Here is a 20,914-nt window from a genome sequence, read left to right on the forward strand (position 1 = left end):
AAAAAAGGATGAGTTAATGTTCTTTGTAGGGACATGGATGAAGCTGGAAACCATCATTCTGAGCAAACTGTCACAAGGACGGAAAACCAAACACCGCATGTTCTCACTCATAGGTGGGAATTGAACAGTGAGAACACATGGACACAGGGCAGGGAACATCACACAGTGGGGCCTGTTGTGGGGGGTGGGGGGCTTGGGGAGGGATAGCATTAGGAGAAATAAAAAAAATATATATCTGCCCAATTAGACCTGACTTTAATAGTGGGTGAGGATAGGCAGACCCTCCACATGGTGGCCACCAGTATGAGCACTTGGTTTGAGGCTGACGTGGAAGGCAGTTGAGCAGTATGGGTGTGGTGCTGTAGACAAACCCAGGCTTGTTTCTGATTGCCCATCCTTCTCTTAAATGTATGGCCCCTACATTGATGAGGTCAGGTGCACAGCAGTAAAGAAGGAATAAATCACACTGCTGAGCAGTAGAACCAGGGTCGGACAAGTCCAGACCTTTGCTTCTATGCTTGATCACTAATCTCAATCCCAGCACTTGACCCGGACCTGACACATAGTAGGTGCTTTGTTTTCTCATCTATAAAATGGAGATTATAATGCCTACTTCAAGGTTTGTTGAAAGGGGAAAATAAGAGAGTAGGTAAACTGCCCAGAGCTGTGCCTAACACATAGTAGGCCCTTGTTATAAAAATAACTAATTTAGTTATCTCTTATCTGAGGTAATTTGGTTACTCATCCTGGGATAGTGATGGAAAAAGGAGAATGGAGGCCTTGGCTTTATTTTTTGTGGTTGTTGTTATTTTGTTTGTTTGAAATAGAGTCTCACTCTGTCGCCCAGGCTGGAGTGCAGTGGCACGATCTCGGCTCACTACAACCTCCGCCTCCTGGGTTCAAGCGATTCTTCTGCCTCAGCTTTCCTAGTAGCTAGGACTACAGGCACATGCCACCACGCCCTGCTAATTTTTGTATTTTTAGTAGAAATGGGGTTTCACCATATTGGCCAGGCTGGTCTCGAACTCCTGACCTCGTGATCCGCCCACCTCGGCCTCCCAAAGTGCTGGGATTACAGGCCTGAGGCTTTATTATCTTTAAATTGTCTCTGAACTCTCTCATGAATGCTTTGAAGTGCCTTGGGTCTGAGTGTTTTAAAACAATTGTCATTCAGAAAAAGTTGAAAGCAAAAACATAGATCCCAAGGATACAGCAGTTCAATCCGCTACAGTTTGTTCTGGAGTAAAAACTCTTCTTACATATCACTCCATATGCAGAGACGTTCATTTAAACGTCTGAATGAAAATGTCTCTAACACATTGGAGAAGCCAGCTTCCCTGGTGAACTCATTGCCAAGCCACAGCTTCCTTTGGAAGGGCAGGCCTCTTCTTTTTGGGGGCTGAGTAGAAAACCATGAGGCTCTGGGTTTGAAAGTGAGTGCCACTTAGCTGATCCAGGTGGAGCTTGGGGAATTTAGATAAGCCGTTCAGATGAAGTGAAAAATCAATAGGTCAGCAAGAGCTATACCCAGAGCAAGAGTGACGTGAATGCTCTGCCATCATTATTGTTAGCCAGGGAAAAGCAGTTAGAGAGCACCACTCTGTCTGCTCTACTGATGGGTATGATAATTTCATCATGTGTGGTTTTAGATTATACTGTCTTAATGAGATCTGCAGCGAGGGGGAATTGAACCGCAGAGAATGATTTTGTGTGTGTGTGTGTGTGTGTGTGTGTGTGTGTGTGTAAGTAGCATCCTAATGATTCTGAAAATTACACAAGGAAGATGCTGTAATCGGCTAGACTGTGGCTGGCTTATCAACACTGGGCCATGTATTGTGTTTCTGCATTTCTAATTTGATTACCTGGAAGCTTGCATCATTAAACTAAAAGGCATCCACATTTTATGTCTTGATAGGACAAAAAAAAAAAAGAAAGATTAATGATACTTTAGGAAATGATCGACTCGACTTTACCCAGGAAATGATCTCTTCTCACTAATGTTTCTTTCCAGACTCAACAGCCTTGCCTATGATTCTATAATTAGAAATATAATATTCAAATCCAGGTACTAGAAAAAATGTGGGGCTTATTTTCTCTACCTCTATATTTGCTATATTTGTTTGGCTTATTGTCTTCTTTCTTGCTCAATGAAGAAAATGTATTTAAGCGTGAGTATCAGAAAAATAAAATTAAATGATTTATAGAGTTTTCTCATTTGGGGAATATTCTACTTTTATACTAGTTAATTGTGTTTTGGGACATAAGACACAGGAAAGGTTTTCCTGTAGTGCTTATGTAGTAACTTTTTAGCCCACAGAAATGTGTTATATTTTCTACCAATATGACCAGTAAATACTTCTACCCAGAATATCTGAAGGGAAGATACTCAGTGTGATTTCCTGTGCATGATAGTGTGTCTCAAAATGAGAATTACAAAACCTGATAGTGCTGTAAAGCTGTAAAGGTTTTATGTTTAGGCCAACATGCTGTCCTAAGGCATTTACAAATTAACTGCTGCAAAAAATACTGTTTACTAAAAATATTTTACTAAAAATATTTTTTAAATCCCATAGCCTGATAGTCTCTTACTAATAATCTTTATTAATATTCTCTTGAACTTGATATTACAGTATTGCAAACAGTGCTTTGTAAGACTTTCTAATGGATCAAAGACAACTTTTATTAGTTGTTTGATGTGTAATTCTAGAAGACTGTAAGTTTCCTTAGACCTCAAGGCCCTATTCTTCGAACATGCTTCCATCCAAGAGTCCAATTACTTCTCTACTAGCATATACTATGTAGGCCCAGAAATCAGCTGGTCAGGGTCTAGGAGTCGGGTATATACTCTTGCCTAAGGGGAGGCATAATAAAGGGTAGTAGGAAATGACACAAGAAAAATTCAAGACAGAATACCAGCCCTTGATAGGCTGTTGAAGACGGAGGGTGAACGTGGAAAAAACAATGGGCAAAGAACACTATATAAAATTAAGTACTCAATTGCACAAGGTTCAAAGTTGTTTTCTTGTTCTTAGGAATGGAATCAAGCAGGGCTGATTTTGTTAGACATAAAGAAAATTAAGCTCTACAGCTCTCTTGGGTAGCATAGAATTTCCCTGGTGGGTTACATACATATTGATAAGACTCCAAGACCAGAGTTTGGTACCTCTTAATATTGATTCATGGTTTTAATGGCTGAAGTGTGTGATGCTAGGGTAGACATCACTGAACCACCCTAAATTGTGTACTGTGGTGGTTTGCAAAACGCTATTTGGTGTCAGCTGAAAAACTGCACTTCATCTTAGATGAAGCCAAGTCGCCAGTATATAAATGGGTGGCCTCTTTACAAAAAAAACTATATGATAAAAAGGTTGGTCTATAATCCTCCTGGGAGTGGTGTAGGGAGGAGAGAGAGAGAGAGAGAGAAAGAGAGAGAGAGAGAGAGAGAGAGAGAGAGAGAGAGAGAGAGAGAGAGAAACTAATCATTTGCATGCCATGCTTCCCCCTCCAAGAAAAATTTCTTGCTTATTGCAGCTTTTCTTAACTCTAAAATGAAGAACATGAATGTACCTGTAGTAGCTAATTTAATTGAAGCAGACATCCATATCCATATGATTTGGGGGGAAGATATGATTATGGAAGGATAAAATATACATCAGTGCATGCTCAAGAGTGCTTTACCTCTGCCTCCTAGTTTAGGAATCTAGAAAATGTTCATCTTAACCCCTCTCTGAGAGATCTCTCAAGTGACCAGTGGGCTGCACTGTCAGAGCCTGCCAGGAGAAACCAGTGCGGACTAATCACAGTATGTTAACCTTCTGGACCATTTGCTATAAAATGCTGCTGGTCACTTTAGCATCTGCAGGAGGCTTCCAGACTTCACCTGCTGTTCATGAATTCTTTGCTGAAGCACACCAGGAAATGATGCTAGGAATCTGTTTCTTGCTTGGCTTCACCTTTTTTCCTTGTCCAAAGTACTTCTCAGTGGGGACAATAACCTAACATACTGAGTTCAGTGTAAACAGGAAATCTGGCAGCAAAAACTGGACCAGGGACTAACTTTGCAAAGCCAAGTTTTAATGAGTAATTTGCAAAGTAATTAATCAAGAGGTCATTGTCCCTAGAAAATGGAGTAAGTGTACCCCACACTGATGTGGTACCTCTTTTGGCTGCCTGAGGCCACAGCTGATCTTCCTTATAACTAGTGGTGACCCACTAGTAAGAGAGTAACCCAGCATTTCCAGGATCAAAGACAGAAAATGTGGAGTCTACCTCTTCAGTCTTGAAAAACTACAGATCATGAACCATTAATAACTCATCAGTGGTTCAGAAAATCAATTTAATGAGTCCAGGCCAACTTTGTTTTTTATTTTTTTGAGACCCAGTCTCGCTCTGTCACCCAGGCTGGAGTGCAGTGGCACCATTTCGGCTCACTGCAACCTCTGTCTCTCAGGTTCACATGATTCTCATGGCTCAGCCTCCCAAGTAGCTGGGATTACATGCATCCACCACCATGCCTGGCTAATTTTTGTATTTTTAATAGAGATGAGTTTTCACCATCTTGGCCAGGCTGGTCTAAAATTCCTGATCTCAAATGATCTCGGCCTCGGCCTCCCAAAGTGCTAGGATAACAGATGTGAGCTACTGCGCCCAGCCCCCAACGATTTTTTAAAAAAATAGATAGAATATAGTAAAAATATTAAAGTGCATTGTGTGTTGTGAGGTTAAATATTTTGCAAAAAATAAATATACACAAATAAATATATATACCCATGTATGTACTGAATTATAATATAATATATATTTCTTACCATGAATCTTCTGAAACTTCTTTAAGTTTGAAAGCATTACTTTATTGATGAATATTCTTTTTGAAATATGGAAAGATAATATATTTCCAAATACATTTTAGATATAGTGATACAAGAGATTGTGTATTTCTTTATGCTTAGGAGACATAGTGACCCTAGGGGAACAATGCATTGATTTAAAGTTGCTGTACTCGGATAAAATGAATGTGATTATATAGTCTTCCAAAAAATATGACATTAAGCATAAACTGTTTGAAATTTTACGCTAGGTTCAAGTATCCTGAAATATTTCAAAGCTATATTTATTGCTATATTTTCATAGATAATGTTAAGGTATATGCAAATCCATGATGAGAATGCAAATAATTTAAATATGTAAACATTTAAAATCATATTTCAAAATTTAGAGTCCTTACACTAAAAAGAAAAAATGAAATCTATAAAAAGGCAGAAACAAAATAAATCTACAGGTTCTTCCAAGCAGTAGAGAAATACTTGGGCTGTTTCAAGGCTGCCAGCAATATTTATTTCCATAGATTGTCATAGAAATTCTAAAAGTCCTGTTACTTTTAGTAATTGTATAGTTTTCTTTACCTTCCATAGTGGAACATTTATTTCCTTTTTTGGGGTGGTGGGAACATTTTACTTTAAAGACATTATTTTTACTTAAAATATATGAAACAGAGAGGAAACATAGGAACACACACTTTGGAGCCAAACTGCTTAGGTTATATGAGCTAGAGCTAGTTACTTAGCCTGTCTGTGCCTCAGTTTCCTCATTCATAAAATGAGAGACAGAGCAGTATCTGTGTTAATGAGGATTAAATGAGTTAATATTTATGAAGTCTGGCCCACAGGAAGTACTGCTAAGTGTTTGCTATTATTAGGGCACCTACACAGCCTTTATTCATTAAACAAACATTCCCTGAGAGCCCACAAGATCAGACACTGGACTAGGGATAATAAGGCAACCTCCAGTATCTCACAAGTACAGTGGGCAAGTCAGATTTCTAGACAAATGAATAGAAGACAGTGATGTAGAAAAGCTGAATGCCAATTTGGTGATATGGAGGAAGGTATGCCGAGATGGGCAGTGGAGGTGAAAACTAGCTTGTCTTAAATACATGCCATTTGATCAGTTGAAATAAGGTCCAGATGTTGACATTTATTTTGGATTTTTCCCTCAGCCAAGCAGCCTAATTCCTGGCCCTTTCCTTCCTTTCCCTAGTCTCACTTTTCTTTAAGAGCCCAGTCTTAATGGAGCCGTTGAAGGGCTGGATCGCGACAGAGGTGTAGCTGATAACACAGAACTCTAGTTGACAGATGTGCGTCTCTCAGTGCTGATCCATATGCCAACTGTATGCCTACAATTGACTGGCCTACTTATTGGAGATAGAAAGGAGTTACTGCTTTAGTTTACAAACTTCCTTTCCACCCCTTCCCAGGGCAACTGCTACACTTATTGGAGCCATGCTGCAAATATTCTCTAGTTGTATTGGATATGTGGCACAAATCCTCTAAAGTGTATTTCACTCACGAAAATGTAAGCCCTGGACCATTCTGATTTCCCAGCAGTTTGTCACACTGTGTATTTATGAACAAAGTTAACATTACCAAATGGAAGTTGTGCATTGAGGCCCCGGGTTAGGAGTAAAGGAGCTTTTCCAGGAAAGTAATAGACGTCTCATTGTTAATCAGTTGGTATCTCAGTCCACTTGTGCTGTTGTAAAGAAATACCTGATGCTGGGAAATTTATAAAGAAAAGAGGTTTATTTGACTTATAATTCCACAGGCTATACAAGAAGCATGGCTCCAGCATCTGCTTCTGGGGAGGAGCTCAGGCTGCTTCCACTCATGGTGGAAGGGGAGCCAACATGTAGAGATCACAAAGTGAGAGAGGAGGCAAGAGGGAGAGGGAGGTGCCAGGCTCTTTTTAAACAACCAGCTCTTGTGTGAACTGCCAGAGCAAGAACTCATAACCACGAGGATGGCACCAAGCCATTCATGAGGGATCCACCCCATGACCCAAAAACCTCCTTTTAGGCCCCACCTCCAACACTGGAGATCAGATTTCAGCATGAAGTTCGAAAGGTCAAATATCCAAACTAGCACTTGGTAAGCCCCAACTATGGGAATCCAAATATGAATCAGATACTCAAGGATCTCTTAGTTGGATAGAGGAAATGTGTATGGTTGCAAATGTTAGGAGCACAATAATGGAATCATAAACATATTTCAGTGGTGGCTTAAAGGAGGGAGTGGTCAATTATGCTTGGGGTGGGGAGATACTATTAGAGATCCCCTACTAGATAATTGCCACAACAAGCAGCAGCACGTATTAACTAAGGACCTACTGCATGTGGAACATGGCACCCAGGGCTGTATTACACACCAAGGTGGGACAGTGGAAGGTAGACCAGCAAGCCCACATAGCCACATCTAGCCCAGTCCTGCATCATAAGGTCCCATCTGAGCTGAGGTCATGTTCCAGCCATCAGCACACCTATATTCATGTCATGTCTACTTTTGTAGGGATGGCTTAGAAGTTATTTGCCTCACTACTGAGATTGAGAGTGTGTTTATCTTATCTAAAATGTGCAGGAGATGCTGAAGCAAGCAAGTGAACGGCAAACTTCTACTGAAATGATCAACATCACCAGCAAAGCAGAAACTTGATCCAAATATAACCATAGAATGTTAACAATGGGAAGGAATAGGGAGAGAAGCTTTGGGAAGGAGTATGGCTTTGAGTCAAATGAGAGATGATTAATGAGTGAGGAATAAAAGCAAAGCATTGAAACTAACACATACTGAGAAAGATAATGTAATGCAAAAAGGGAAGCATTATGATAAAAAATTCAAGTGATTGAACGAAATGGAAACTGATTTACAAGGTGGTAGGGATACAGCTGGAAGCTCAGCAGTTCCATCTGGGAATAAAAAGTAGGAAGTTAACCTGTTCCAAGTGACCCTCCTCAGCCCAGTAATGATATTGTCAAAGGGGAAGGGGAGTGAGTAAATAAAATAAAGGGGTTAACTCCATGCAGAAGAGAAATTTCCAGGTTGGGATCAAGAAACCAAGATGATTAAATCAACCCAGAATACTTTGTGTGAAATATGATCAAAGCGATAAGAAGATTATCTTCTCAAATTATATCCCTAGTAGGAGTCCCCAGATGGGGTGGCAGGGATATATGTGGATTTTAGAAAATGGCTGCTTTAAACAGTTCAGGAAGGTGGCCTGAAACAAAAAATGGATAATGAGGACAACAACAAAATCCTAACCTATAGATCCCTCCACATATACAAGACTTAAGAATAAAGGAATCAATTGCCTCTCTCCAAGCCATACCAGTTGTCTGGGTATGCCCAATCACCTTTTTCACAAGTCAGGAAAAGGTACCAGATCTAAAATTAAAATGACAGACAGACAGATAGATTGACACAGATATAGACAGACAGATTCAAAGAAGAGGGCCTTGTTGATGCAAAGCTGGAATAGAAGGCAGAAATGTCACAATTGAGATACAAATAGGGTGGCTCCCAGAACATAAACAGGCCTTGGCGATAGAGGAAATGCTGGACAGACACCCAGGAGCCCTGAATTCTAAGCTCGCTGCTGCTCCTGCCTAGCTTTATGGTCTTGGTGAGGGAGTTGCCTGATGTGTTTCTGTGTTTTCGTGCTTGTAAAACAAGAGAGTTGCAATAAATGAATTCGAAGATCCTTACCACATTTAAAGATTTCTGTAACGATATAAAGAATAGAGGAATATGAAGTGAACCCAGTTCTCATGACAAGTTCAAAGCGAATTCACCACTTGGGGAAGTAAGTATCAAGTTTCCATCATTTAGACATTAATTTATTTCTCTTCTGTTTTTAGATTGCCAACCCACTCCTGATCTAAGTTCACAAAAAACCTGTTTCATGTCTTTCTCAAAACCTTCCAGGAATGCCATATTATCTGTAATTTAAATTTCAACAAGAATAGGCACATTTGGATTATTAAAGGCCATACTGTCCATATTTGTGCATATTCTTCCTGTTTTGCTCCTGCTGGAGATACTTTTTGGGGTATTGGAACCCTCTGTTCACTCTCCTCTGTGAGTGTTATTTCTTTGGAATATACATGCCAGGGGATTTAAACATTGTGCAGTAGAATATTACTTGATAACATCAGTTGTATTTATAAATCATCATATGTAAAACATGAGACACAAATTGCCTTGTTTCTACTGCAGGGTCAGGTGTTCTTTCTCCTGTTCAAGGTAATTAGACAGTGACTTGTATAATAAACCCAAGGGTGGAAAAGACATTTCAGCCTGCCAGTTACACATAGAATTGCACTGACTTTGTATCCGTAGGGTATTTAATGCCACCCTAAGGGATCAGAAAAGCAGGACCCCTCTCTTTTGTATAGGTTCCAGAAGAGTGGAAAGTTATTTAAGAATATTGTAGAACCTTGCATGAAAATATGTCTTCAATAGAATTGAGGCTCTGTGGCCAGAGAGGCAAATCAATGAGAGTGGGGTTAGAGGAAGACAAGAATCAGAAAGGCAAGAGTCAGACGACAAGACTGAGCAGACTGGGGGAAAGTCCTGGTAAATTGCAGACAACAATCTTGGTCAAGTTACATTTGAATTGCTGATGAGCTGCCTCAGAGAAGATGCTGCAGAGATAGTAGAGAGGCAAGATTCCACAGGATGAAGAGATCTGGGGTGGACAGTAGAACCAGGGACCTAGGAACATAAGGTGGATGATAGAATTTGTGTACAGGTAATCGATTAAAAAAAGGCAATTAGTGTTTGACAATTAGACAAACAGTGGAATTTATTTTACTTTTTGAAATTCACACAAGCAAGAGGAAGTAAAGTCCTTAAGGCTATGTCTACACTAAACTCACAAGGGAAGTCAGAGGGTCCAGAACATCTTTTAGTGTTCCCTGCAATCCTGCAACCTGGAGTTCCCCAAGAAATTTTTGAAACGGATGCTCCGTCTGCATTCCAGGTAGGATGTTTTGTGTTGGGTTCTGTTTGCTTTGCATTTTGATTCCCGTATAGAATAATCTACTAGAGTGGATTCTGGAACTCCATTCGATCTTTAGACCAGTGGGTTCCTTGAGGATCTGAAATATGAGCCTCCTAGTGAGTTTAAGTTTATAAATGGCCTGCCTTGAATATGCACTTGGAAAGATTAGTGGGAAGTCCTGCTACAGGCATAGCCATTGATAAAATTCCAGGAGAGAGACTCAATGATGAGGAAAGTCTCAGCTAAAAAAATCCACCCAGAGTTTGATGAGGATAAAGGTATAATAGAGGCAATTAGCATTGTTCACAAGAAGCCAAATTCTGACTTTAATTAAGAAACATAAAGGTAAATTAAAGAAAAAAATTTTATTTAAAAATTCAGTAAAGTACTAGAGAAGAAAATGCTGATTATCACAGAATATATCACAGGTTTCTGTTAAAGGGGAGGAAAAGAAGTTAGTGTTATCAGGAAGAGCCGTTGGTTCAAAAGAGGCTTTTATGAAAATTAGTTTGAGAAAGTGACATTCTTAATTGATGATATGAAAGGTTTAAAATATTTCCTGCACTTTTTTGTCTTTGTGTTTAATTAGTATGCTCTGACATATGTCAGGGCATTAATAATTTTGCAACATTAGTTAATCTGCCCAAGTTGAATATTATAAATGTATGTGCATATGTGTGTGTGCATTACTTAATAGAACAAGAATGTGAGTCTGTAACGTCTAGCTCAGTTTTGAGATCCCTAGACTGGGTTGCCTCTCATTAATAGAATTAATGGAATTTAAGATATATTAAATAGTAACCAATTTATGATATTCTAATCCTTACTCCACAAATATATTGTTGTATGAGTTTTAAACATTTCTGCTTTAGTACCATACTTGAAAATTCAGGGTGTTGGCAGAACGAAAGCCCACTTGAAATATTAACTCCAAAATAGACTCATTTTTTCCTTGCCAGTATAGGCAAATCTACAGGGACCTTTTGTTGCCAGTCAAATGGAAAAATCCTATTTTAGGAATCAACCCTATTTTTAAATAGTTTTCAGTCATTACTTAATGAAAGGCATAGCTCTTGATCTGCTTTTCAAAGGATTAAACAAAAATCTGGGCTTCAAGTGAAATGTCAACAAATGCCACATATACCCTACATTGAAAAGTTTAAGTTGTGTGGCTAATTAATACTAGAGCATCAGAGATAAATTTGCATGACACTAGCCATTTATTATTTTAAGCTTTTTTGGTAAATGTTTTCTTAAACACATTTTAACAGTTGTTTGATATAAGGTATAATAAAGGCATCCAAATTCATAGTTTGATAATTTGCATTGAGTTCTTTTCTCTATGCTAAATAAAGTATGGATATTGCTAAGACAGTTTTCAAAGTATAATGTGTTCAATCGTGATCATGATCGATGGCTGAATGTATTTCCAAATATACTCATAATTTTAGCTTAAATGTAGTTGAGTTGAGTGCAGATTGAATAACAAATGGAATTGAGATACAGTGGAAACTTGAAGCTAAGTCAGATAAAGACCACTAGCATTACCCTTGGGTGTGGACCAGAGTGGAAAAGGAATCTGGGATTCTGATGTTGCAGTAGCTAACCCTGAAACTCGATGCAATGGTTGACTTATGAAGAGACCTAATTGTGTGTATGCACAGTATTTTGAAAGGATCAAATACACACACACACACAGAGACTAGATCATAAGTAGTTTGATAGCTAGATAAATAATCCATTCAAAAAATACATATATAGAGAAAGCATGGTGTGTGTGTGTGTGTGTGTGTGTGTGTGTGTGTGTTCTATGGATGGATGGGTGTATACACATATATGTATGTACACTTATATTTAAAGCTATATCTCAGTTGTCTGGAAGTGATTCTCAAATTGTCTCCCTGCTTTTCCTGTGCATTCCTGTACAACATGGAAGTTGTAAATGATTGTAAAGTTGTCAGTAATGCCCCTAGGCTCATGTTAGCTTACAGATGAGAGCTAATTCTGGGTAGATAATATCTGAGCTTATTTATTAAAACACATTTTTGCTTTTCTTTTTTAAGAGTTACTTAAAAAATAAATAAAGGCAATGGAAAGCTTTTCCAGTGATTTTTTTTTCATGTGAAATTAAGTTTTAGCCTTAGACCATGTGAGGTGGGGTAGATATCATAGAAACCCAGGACCAAGCTGCTATCCCGAGGGTAACATTTCTAACTTTATTAGCATTTCTAACATTTCTGACTTTGAGATGTAATTTCCATAGGAGCCTGTGGTTCAAATTTGAGGTGTTCAGAACTAAATGTGGAATTTTCAGATCATGGAAGTGAGATTTATTTTGATGAGGAAAAACCCTGTACCTATGTGGAAACATAAGCTTTGAGACATCAGTATTCATGTGCATCAGGGTTTATCTTTTATATTATCAGATCTGTTTCTGAATCTGCCCCTGCTCACCAAAAAAGTCTAGATTTGCTTCCAAATTAAAGATACGGTATATAGTACCTAGTGGTAAGAGAGTGAAGATACATAGTCTAGATGCAGTGGGTTATTTCTAAACATTGCCTTCAAACATGACTGCAAATACATTAGAAGAAAAATTATTAAGTGATTGGGATAAATATAATTAGCCTTTGGGTTGTTGCTATTATAATCAATGCAGAAATCTCATTAATTTATGCACAGTTTGGAGTTGATGATTATGTGAGATCTCAGCATAATCTCCAATTTCTATATTTATAATAAAAGAAGAAATAAATAGCATGGACAAGATAGATTTCCTTACATGAGCAACATAATGAGTGCCCGTAAGTGCTAGGCATGATGTATGTTATATAACCTAATGTTCATAAGTTGCCTCTGGGGTAGATGATATTATCTGTATTTTACCAATAAGAAAATCTGAGGCTTATGGTTTAAGGGACTAATCAAGGTCATGTATCTAAGGAAGTGGATTGAGGATGTGAACTTGGGTCCTGTGCTTTTCTGAGTACCAACCCTCGTAAGTTCCTTAGGCGTTTTTATTCCTTTGTTCAACCCATTTCCTGAGTGACACTATGGTAAACATTATTTTTGCAAGCAATATGCTTACTACTGTATTTACCAGTCACTCTTATCTGAGCACTAGAGCAGTTCTCTCAAGAACTTCAAGGTGCTACTGCTTTCTTAGACTGGCAGAGACTGTATATACATTTGAAATATTCATATCCTAGTAATGTATACTCTTTCCGACTCCTGCATGTCTCTTACTAGTTTCATTATTGCTGTTTTACTGCACTTAATTGTGTGTGTTCATGGAACATCTTGGAGTCAGTATTCACTATAGAAAAGGATTAATAAAGTCAAGACTTAATAGTAGCTACTTCCTGATAATGTTGTCTGCAAAGGCTCCTTCTGAATCTCAATCCTGAAAATGCTCTCAGATATTGAGCTGATGCTGGCACAAATGAAAATCAGATAGAACTTTTAGGTAGTAATTTTTAGAATCTTTACTGAGTGTCAGGTAGGAGGAAGCAGCTGGGAATATGCATTATTTTTAAAACTAAGAGCAAAGGTTTTCTTGTGTTCTTGTTGCCAGCTTCATGTTTCAGAAAATAGTTGACTCTCCTGATGTGTAAGTTCATAAAGGCATGCCATGCTTCCTTCTCAGCTCTGAATTTAGTGAGCTTTTAGGTTTTGAGAGGTGTCTAAAATATTTCTTTCTCCTATTTAGTGAGACATAAACATTTTTATTGAAATGCACAGGAAAACCCAACATAGTTCCTGCCATGCTGCCATGTGCAAGGCAATCTTGCCTGTTTCATCACTGCTGTTATGTTTTTTTTTTTTTTTGAGATGGAGTTTTGTTTTTGTTGCCCAGGCTGGAGTGCAATGGCATGATCTCAGCTCACTGCAACCTCCGCCTCCCATGTTCAAGTGATTCTCCTGCCTCAGCCTCCCAAGTAGCTACGATTACAGGCGTGCACCACCACGCCCAGCTAATTTTGTATTTTTAGTAGAGACAGGGTTTCACAATGTTGGTCAGGCTGGTCTCAAACTCCTAACCTCAAGTGATCCACCTGCCTCGGCCTCCCAAAGTGCTAGGATGACAGGCATGAACCACTGTGCCTGGCCAATTGTGATTTATTTAAAGCCTTTCTTCAGTCTATGAGATACACTGAGTTCTAAGTGCCCCTGTGAAATGTCAGTGAATGGAAGTGGGCAGGCAATTAAAGAAAGAAGCTATGTTGGCATAACTAGACTTTAGCATATGTATTTCAGGGAAAAAAAAAAGGTAGCTCAAGTGATGGAAGAGTGGAAATATTTTAAAAGATGTCTAGGGATTTGTTAGCAATGTATATCCTACCACATCATTTTTATTATACAATTTTCTCTTGGAAGAATCATGGGGTTTTACAGTAACAAAGACTTCCCCAGGCCTATAATAAGCTGATGGGTTGCTTTTTCTCTTTCACTACTGCATGAAATTTCTGCTAACAGAGCTAGGCCTCATTAACCTTGTGCCATCATTTCATCTGTCCTGTTACCCGTTTCATAAAGGATGTCCTTTTGTGTCCCATGATCAAGATGGAAACACCTCTAATGAGAGCTTCACAGTTAGTGGAATGAGCCCCTGGTATGCACACTGGAAATCTACTTGCTTGAAAGTCAGATTTACATAGAGTGATCCTTCTTTAGCAATAATGTATGGCCCTAGAACTTGTGGCATCAGGCTATTTGAATCATAATAAAAATATTTTTTATAAAAACAGGTGAAATTGGAAGAAACTTGGAGGTGTTGGGGTGGGTAGAATAAGAGAAAGAACAGGTGGCCAGAAGAGAGAGAGGAGGGAGAATAAAAGGAGACAAAGAAAGACAAACTTCTGTCATGTCCCAGTGAAGTTAGAAGCCACCCCAGGAATTTCTCAGATAGTTACATTGATAAGCAAGAGTGAGAAGTCCATACAATTGCCAGATGGATTATGTCAGTAAATATGCAAATTGGAAAATGCAGTTTCAACACAGTTTTGCTTCAGAGTTGTGTTTTCCTTTTCAGTCATACTTGAATTGAACACCTAATTTCCTCAACCTTATGTGTTGAGTGAATGTCATCTGGAAGCGTATGTTTCAGCTTACACATCTATGACTTCTATACATCTAAAATTAAAATCTCATTTAATTTTAATGCATCTCATTTGCTAAGAAAATAGTAGTAATTTAGGCGGTTGTCTTTGTCACACACACCAAAAGACCAATTAGAATGGTTCCCTTGTTTTTCTTGGCTTAGAGTCGTTTGTCTCATACCTGCTGGAAATTAATTTTAACAGTCAGTCACTTATTTAATTAAGTTAGAAGACTTTTAAAAGGTAATGTATCCAATAAAATCGTAGACTAATGGCCACTATGAAATGCTCATTATGCTAGCAGCCTTTAAGCCTTTAGCAAAAAGAATTGTGAAGAGGGTTTATATGAATGGATTAGGTTTCATTTTAAAGTGCATTAAGTGACATAAACAAATGTGAAAAACTTAAGTAACTTACAAGTACCTTAGATTACTAATTAAATGAAAAAAGGAGTTAAATATTGGAGTGGTAGTAAAGTTTCAGAGCAGTGTTTTCAGGTATGTTATATTAGTATATCCACCAGAGAGGAATAAATGTGTTTTAAGATAATATAAGGCCTATGATGTCAGATGTTTTCATGTGAGCTACAATTTATTTAAATGATCAATATCTCCCTTGGGCTTGTTTTCTTGCTTAATAAATGAAATATGTGGTTATGCATTATAAGAAGAAATTAATAAGACATAATTCAAATGATAATTTCTTATGGGGAGAAAGTTCTAGATAGTCTATGTTAGAAGAAGCCCTAAAGTGGCATTACATAATAAAACTATAATGTAAGCCATATATATAATTTTAAATTTTCCACTAGACACATTAAAACAAGTAAAAAGAAACAGGTAAATTTATTTAATACATTTTCTTTAGTGCAATATATGTCAAACATTATGTTAACTTATAATTCATATAACAAATTATTAATGGAATTAAAACCTTTTTTTTGGCCAGGCACAGTGGCTTACACTTGTAATCCTAGCACATTGAGAGGCTGAGGCAGGAGTTCAAGAGCAGCCTGGCCAACATGGTGAAACCCCATCTCTGCTAAAAAAAAAAAAAAATACAAAAATTAGCCAGACGTGGTGGTGCACACCTCTAATCCCAGCCACTTGGGAGGCTGAGGCACGATAATTGCTTGAACCCCGGAAGCAAAGGTTGCAGTTAGCCAAAATCCCACCACTGTATTCCAGCCTGGGTGACAGAATGATACCTCGTCTCAAAAAAAAAAAAAAAAAAAAAAAAATCTAAGTCTTTGAAATCCAGGGTGCGTTTTACATGTACAGCACATTTCAATTCAGCTGTGTTTCATGTGCTCAGTAGCACATGTACTGGCAATTACCATGCTGGACTTCAAAGCTCTGAAGCAAAGACTCACAGGGCCAAGCAGGCAAGAAAACGACTGAAACAGGTCACCTGGGACCTGTAGCAAACTGCCACTTTCTACATGCACAGGGCTGCTCTCAGCCCAGCCAGTTCCTGCCTTAGCCCTAGTGCTGCCAGATTTTCTGAAGCCAGAAATCCGGAGTCCTATTCTTGATATTTAAGTGTTGGCAACTAATGTAAACATCATACCATGCTGGCCTTCGGGTTGCCAGTTTGTGGCCTCTGTTCCCAGGATTTCACATTTTAAGCCATATAAGGGTTTCTGACTCGTCTAACAAGCTGTATTGGGTTCGGTGAAGGATAATAAAGGATCCCCTTTTTCACAAATACAGTGTGTTTGAACATATTTTTGAATTTGTGGAATGGGTTCCACATTAGAATCAACTCAGTGGTTGCCCTTACCACCTTCCTGTGCCCGTAGAACGCAGAGCTGGAAAGCTCTAGGATAAAGTACTTCATTGCTCTAGCTTACTTCACCTCTCCCCCGTTGTTAACATTCATCCCACCAAAGCTGTTGTTGAAAGTCCCTAATGCGGTCTTCTTGAAGGCAGGCAGAATCTGTCTTATTCCACACTGTATCTCCAGCACTTGAATGGATGAGTAGGTGATACATAAAACCCAAAGAAGCAGTTTGGCAAGGATATGGAGAATTTGGAACCCTTGTGTACTGCTGGTGGGAATGTAAAATGGTACAAGCTACTATGGAAATACAGTTGGCAGTTCCTTAAAAAATTAAAGCTAGAACTACCATATGATCCAGCAATTCTACTTCGGGGTATGTACCCAAAAGAAGTGAAAGCAAGAGATAGTTGTACACCCATATTTATAGCAGCATTAGTCATAGTAACCAAAAGGTGGAAGCAACCCAAGTCTCCACTAACAGATGAATGGATAAACAAGTGTGGACTGTACATAAAATGGAATATTATTTAGCCTTAAAGGAAGGAAATTCTGACGTATGCTACAACATGGATGAATCTTAAAAACATTATACTAAGTGAAAAAAATCCACTGGCAAAAGGGAAACTGCTGTATAATTCTTCTTTTATTAGATACCTCCACTAGTCAAAGTCATAAAGACAGAAAGTAGAATGGTGGTTATCAGGGGCTGGGAGGAGAAGGAACAGGGAATTATTTTTTAATGAGTACAGAGTTTCAGTTTTGCAAGATGAAAAGAATTCTGTGGATGAGTAGTGGTGATGGTTTCATAACAATGTGAAAGTGTTTAATGCCACTGACTTGTATGCTTAAAAATCGTTAAAGTGGCAATTTTATGTTATGTGTATTTTACCACAATTAAAAATAAATGATGTTTTTTAAAAACCCAAAAAGGTTAAATGATATATCCAAGGTCACAGTATTGTAGTCTGGAGCTTTTAAAACTATCCCAGGCTATTCATAGTATGTTTTGAGGTAGCATAATAATAAAGGAAGGACTTAACGCTTGGAACCCGTAGACCCTTATCTTGACAAGTCACGTGATATCTTAGCCCCTCAGTTCCCCTACACATCCAGTCCTGTCTTCTGGAACCAACTGACCAGTAAGGTTAACATGATAAAATTAAATATGTATGGGAAAAATATATATCCTAGATTAATCTGGGCCAAACTCATTATATGCTGGGGAATTAATGTGTTATTGAGATTTTTTTTAAAAACATTCCAGTAATGTAGCAAATGTGTAAGAGCCTTGTTGAACCCCAGCAATATGATTCCCCAGTTCAGTTAAAATGATCAACTGAATATAAAAGTTTGCCTCAGCCACTGAGCAAATTTGTTTCACTTTTCTGTTATCTATATGATGATGATTATTTTATTTCATCGTCTTCCATGTGTGCTGAAATGCCCTAGAAGTCCAATTCTTCTTGTCTTCCTCTCAGAGTAAAGTGAGGTGGGAAGAGAATCCCAAGTGCAATAGGGTATCTAGTCTCAAGAGGCAGCACCACCCCCTGAAGCACAGCATCTTCAGTGACCTTTCCTGGCTTAGTAACTATGTGAATGTCTGTTATTCAGAGTTACCAGATTTCAACAACCAGAGAAAAAGGCACAAGCATTTCCTATTTCCATTCTCTAGAGATTTGCTTTGTTAGGAAAGCAAGACTCTTAGTTTCTGTCACATGGTGTATTAAGTTTTATTGTTGAAGAGGACGTTATCTTGAGACCAAGAATGCAAACAAGATTCTATATTAGTTCTAAATTGTAGATGGCCCAGTTTATCCAGTCTCATGTTTTAAAAATGAACACAGCTCAATGGCTTGCAAGTTGCTACTTACAGATAGTTTCTTCCCATTGTTTGAGAGCCTTATGTCACATTATTAACTAAAATAAATTCAAGATAGATTAAAAGAGTTACATGCAGAAGAGAAAACCATAAAAATAAAAAAGAAAATATAGGTGAGAAGCAAATCTTAGCTTGAGGAAAGCATAAAGTCATAAAAGCAATGAAAAAAATTGCAAAAGGAAAATAGATACATTTAACTGCATTGATAAATGAAACTGCATACAAAATTTCTACATGTTAAAAATATGATAACATGTAAACACAAATTAGTCAAATATTCGCAACAAATGTGATAGACAAAGGCTAACATATGATACGGCTTGGCTGTGTCCCCACCCAAAATCTCATCTTGAATTATAATAATCCCCACGTGTCAAGGGTGGGACCCAGTGGAGATAATTAAATCATGGGGGTAGTTTCCCCCACACTGTTCTCATGATAGTGAGTGAGTCCCCATGAGATCTGATGGTTTTATAAGGGATTTCCCCCTTCACTCAGCTCATTCTCTCTTGTCTGCCACGATGTAAGACGAGACATTGCTCCTCATTCGCCTTCCACCATGACTGTGAGGCCTCCCCAACCATGTGGAACTGTGAGTCAATTAAACCTCTTTCCCGTCCGGGCGCAGTGCCTCACACCTATAATCCCAGCACTTTGTGAGGCCCAGGCGGGCAGATCACGAGGTCAGGAGTTCGAGACCAGCCTGACCAACATGAAACCCCATCTCTACTAAATGATACAAAAAATTAGCCAGGCGTGGTGGTGGGTGCCTGTAATCCCAGATACTTGGGAGGCTGAGGCAGGAGAATCGCTTGAACCCGGGAGGTAGAGGTTGCAGTGAGCCAAGATCACGCCACTGCACTCCAGTCTGGGCAACAGGGCAAGACTCCATCAAAAAAAACAAAAAAAAAAAAAACCTCTTTCCTGTATAAATTACCTAGTCTTGGGTATGTCTTTATTAGCAGCGTGAGAACACACTAATACAATATATAAATACATCTTTCAAATCAATTTAAAAACCTTACTATCTTAATAAAATAATGGCAAGAGACATGATTAGAGGTATGATTTTTCTTCACAAAGAAAAAATGTAAGTGGCTAACAAATGTGAAATGGGTCATTTTTAGTAATTAAAGAAATGCAAACTAATGTAAGATGAATAGGATCAAGACAGTTTCTACTATTAAACTGGGTTTTTTGGTTGTTTTTATAAGGTAACCCTCAATTCTGGCCAAATTACAGGGAGTATAAGGTGATACAGCCTTTCTGGAAAGTTATTTAGTAACAGGTGCTAATAACTTCAAATATGTAAAAGTAATGTGTAAAAGTATCAGTAATTGCATTTATAGGAACCTGTCCTTAGAAAATAATTAGAAATGCCAGTACAGATTTGTATACCACAGTGTTCACTGCAAAATTATTTGTAGTAGTGAAAAATTGAAGATCACCCAAATGAACAACTATAAGGAGTTATTTATATAAATTATGGTTCACCAATACTGACATTATTGCTGACATTAAAAATTAGGAGTTTGAAGAATATTAAAATGGAAATATTTATTAAAATGTGTTCAATGTAAATTTGGCACCTTGTATAATGTGTCATTGTATAAATTTGTAACAATGGTATAGCAGTGTTAAATATATGTGTATGCACTGAGAAAAGATTAAATGAAAATCAGCAATGTGTTAGAAACAGTTTTCTCTGGATGGCCAGATTACAAGTAATTTTAATTTTCTTTATACTTTTCTGCCTGTTCCAAATTTTCCAGAATAGAAGTATGTTATTTTTATAAATGGAAAGAAAGTTTTTAAAGAACTGCGTTGCTAACAAAACAGATTTATTATGAAGAACACTCTTCAACTTTCTCCATAAACTTTCTCCTGACACTGTCATTCACTTCATAGTTAATGACTCCATTTTTCCTCCATATCTATCAAATTACCAACTTCTACTGTCTCTCTCTTCAATGTCTCCTAGACCTGGCCCTTTCTTTCCCCTCCTGCAGTCAGCCCAGTAGTTTGGCTTAGCTCCTCATTACTCTTGGCCTGTTTGGAAGACTTCTCTGACTCTCCATTGCTCTCAGTTTTGAATCCTGAACCCAGCCTGGGATGCATGATTCTCAGTAACATGCTTCTCACCTAGCTTTTCACATTAGTCCTCAGACTCCCTTACACACATCAGCCAGACCCTCACACCCCTGTGCTTTCACTTCCCTGTGATGTTCCTGCTACTAGCAGTGCACTTCATTCATTCATTCATTCATTCATTCAACAGACATTTACTGAGCAAATTTCAGAGCACTAGGCACTCTGGGGT

The 20,914-nt window shown here is 38.2% G+C and overlaps 1 long non-coding RNA gene and 1 pseudogene across 2 annotated transcripts in view; both read left to right on the forward strand.

Annotated features, from left to right (window-relative positions):
- The window catches only part of LOC124900336 (uncharacterized), a 33,342-nt gene extending 16,702 nt beyond the window's left edge, over positions 1 to 16,640 (forward strand). The window contains exon 2 of the long non-coding RNA XR_007063748.1: positions 7,410 to 16,640. This is a non-coding gene — a long non-coding RNA (uncharacterized LOC124900336). The remainder of the gene's footprint in view (positions 1 to 7,409) is intronic.
- Positions 1 to 20,914, forward strand: part of EEF1DP3 (eukaryotic translation elongation factor 1 delta pseudogene 3) — a 112,802-nt pseudogene that overhangs the window by 17,124 nt on the left and 74,764 nt on the right. The gene's annotated exons all lie outside the window — the stretch shown is intronic.

This window comes from Homo sapiens, chromosome 13, assembly GCF_000001405.40.
Source record: "Homo sapiens chromosome 13, GRCh38.p14 Primary Assembly".
Lineage (NCBI taxonomy): Eukaryota > Metazoa > Chordata > Mammalia > Primates > Hominidae > Homo > Homo sapiens.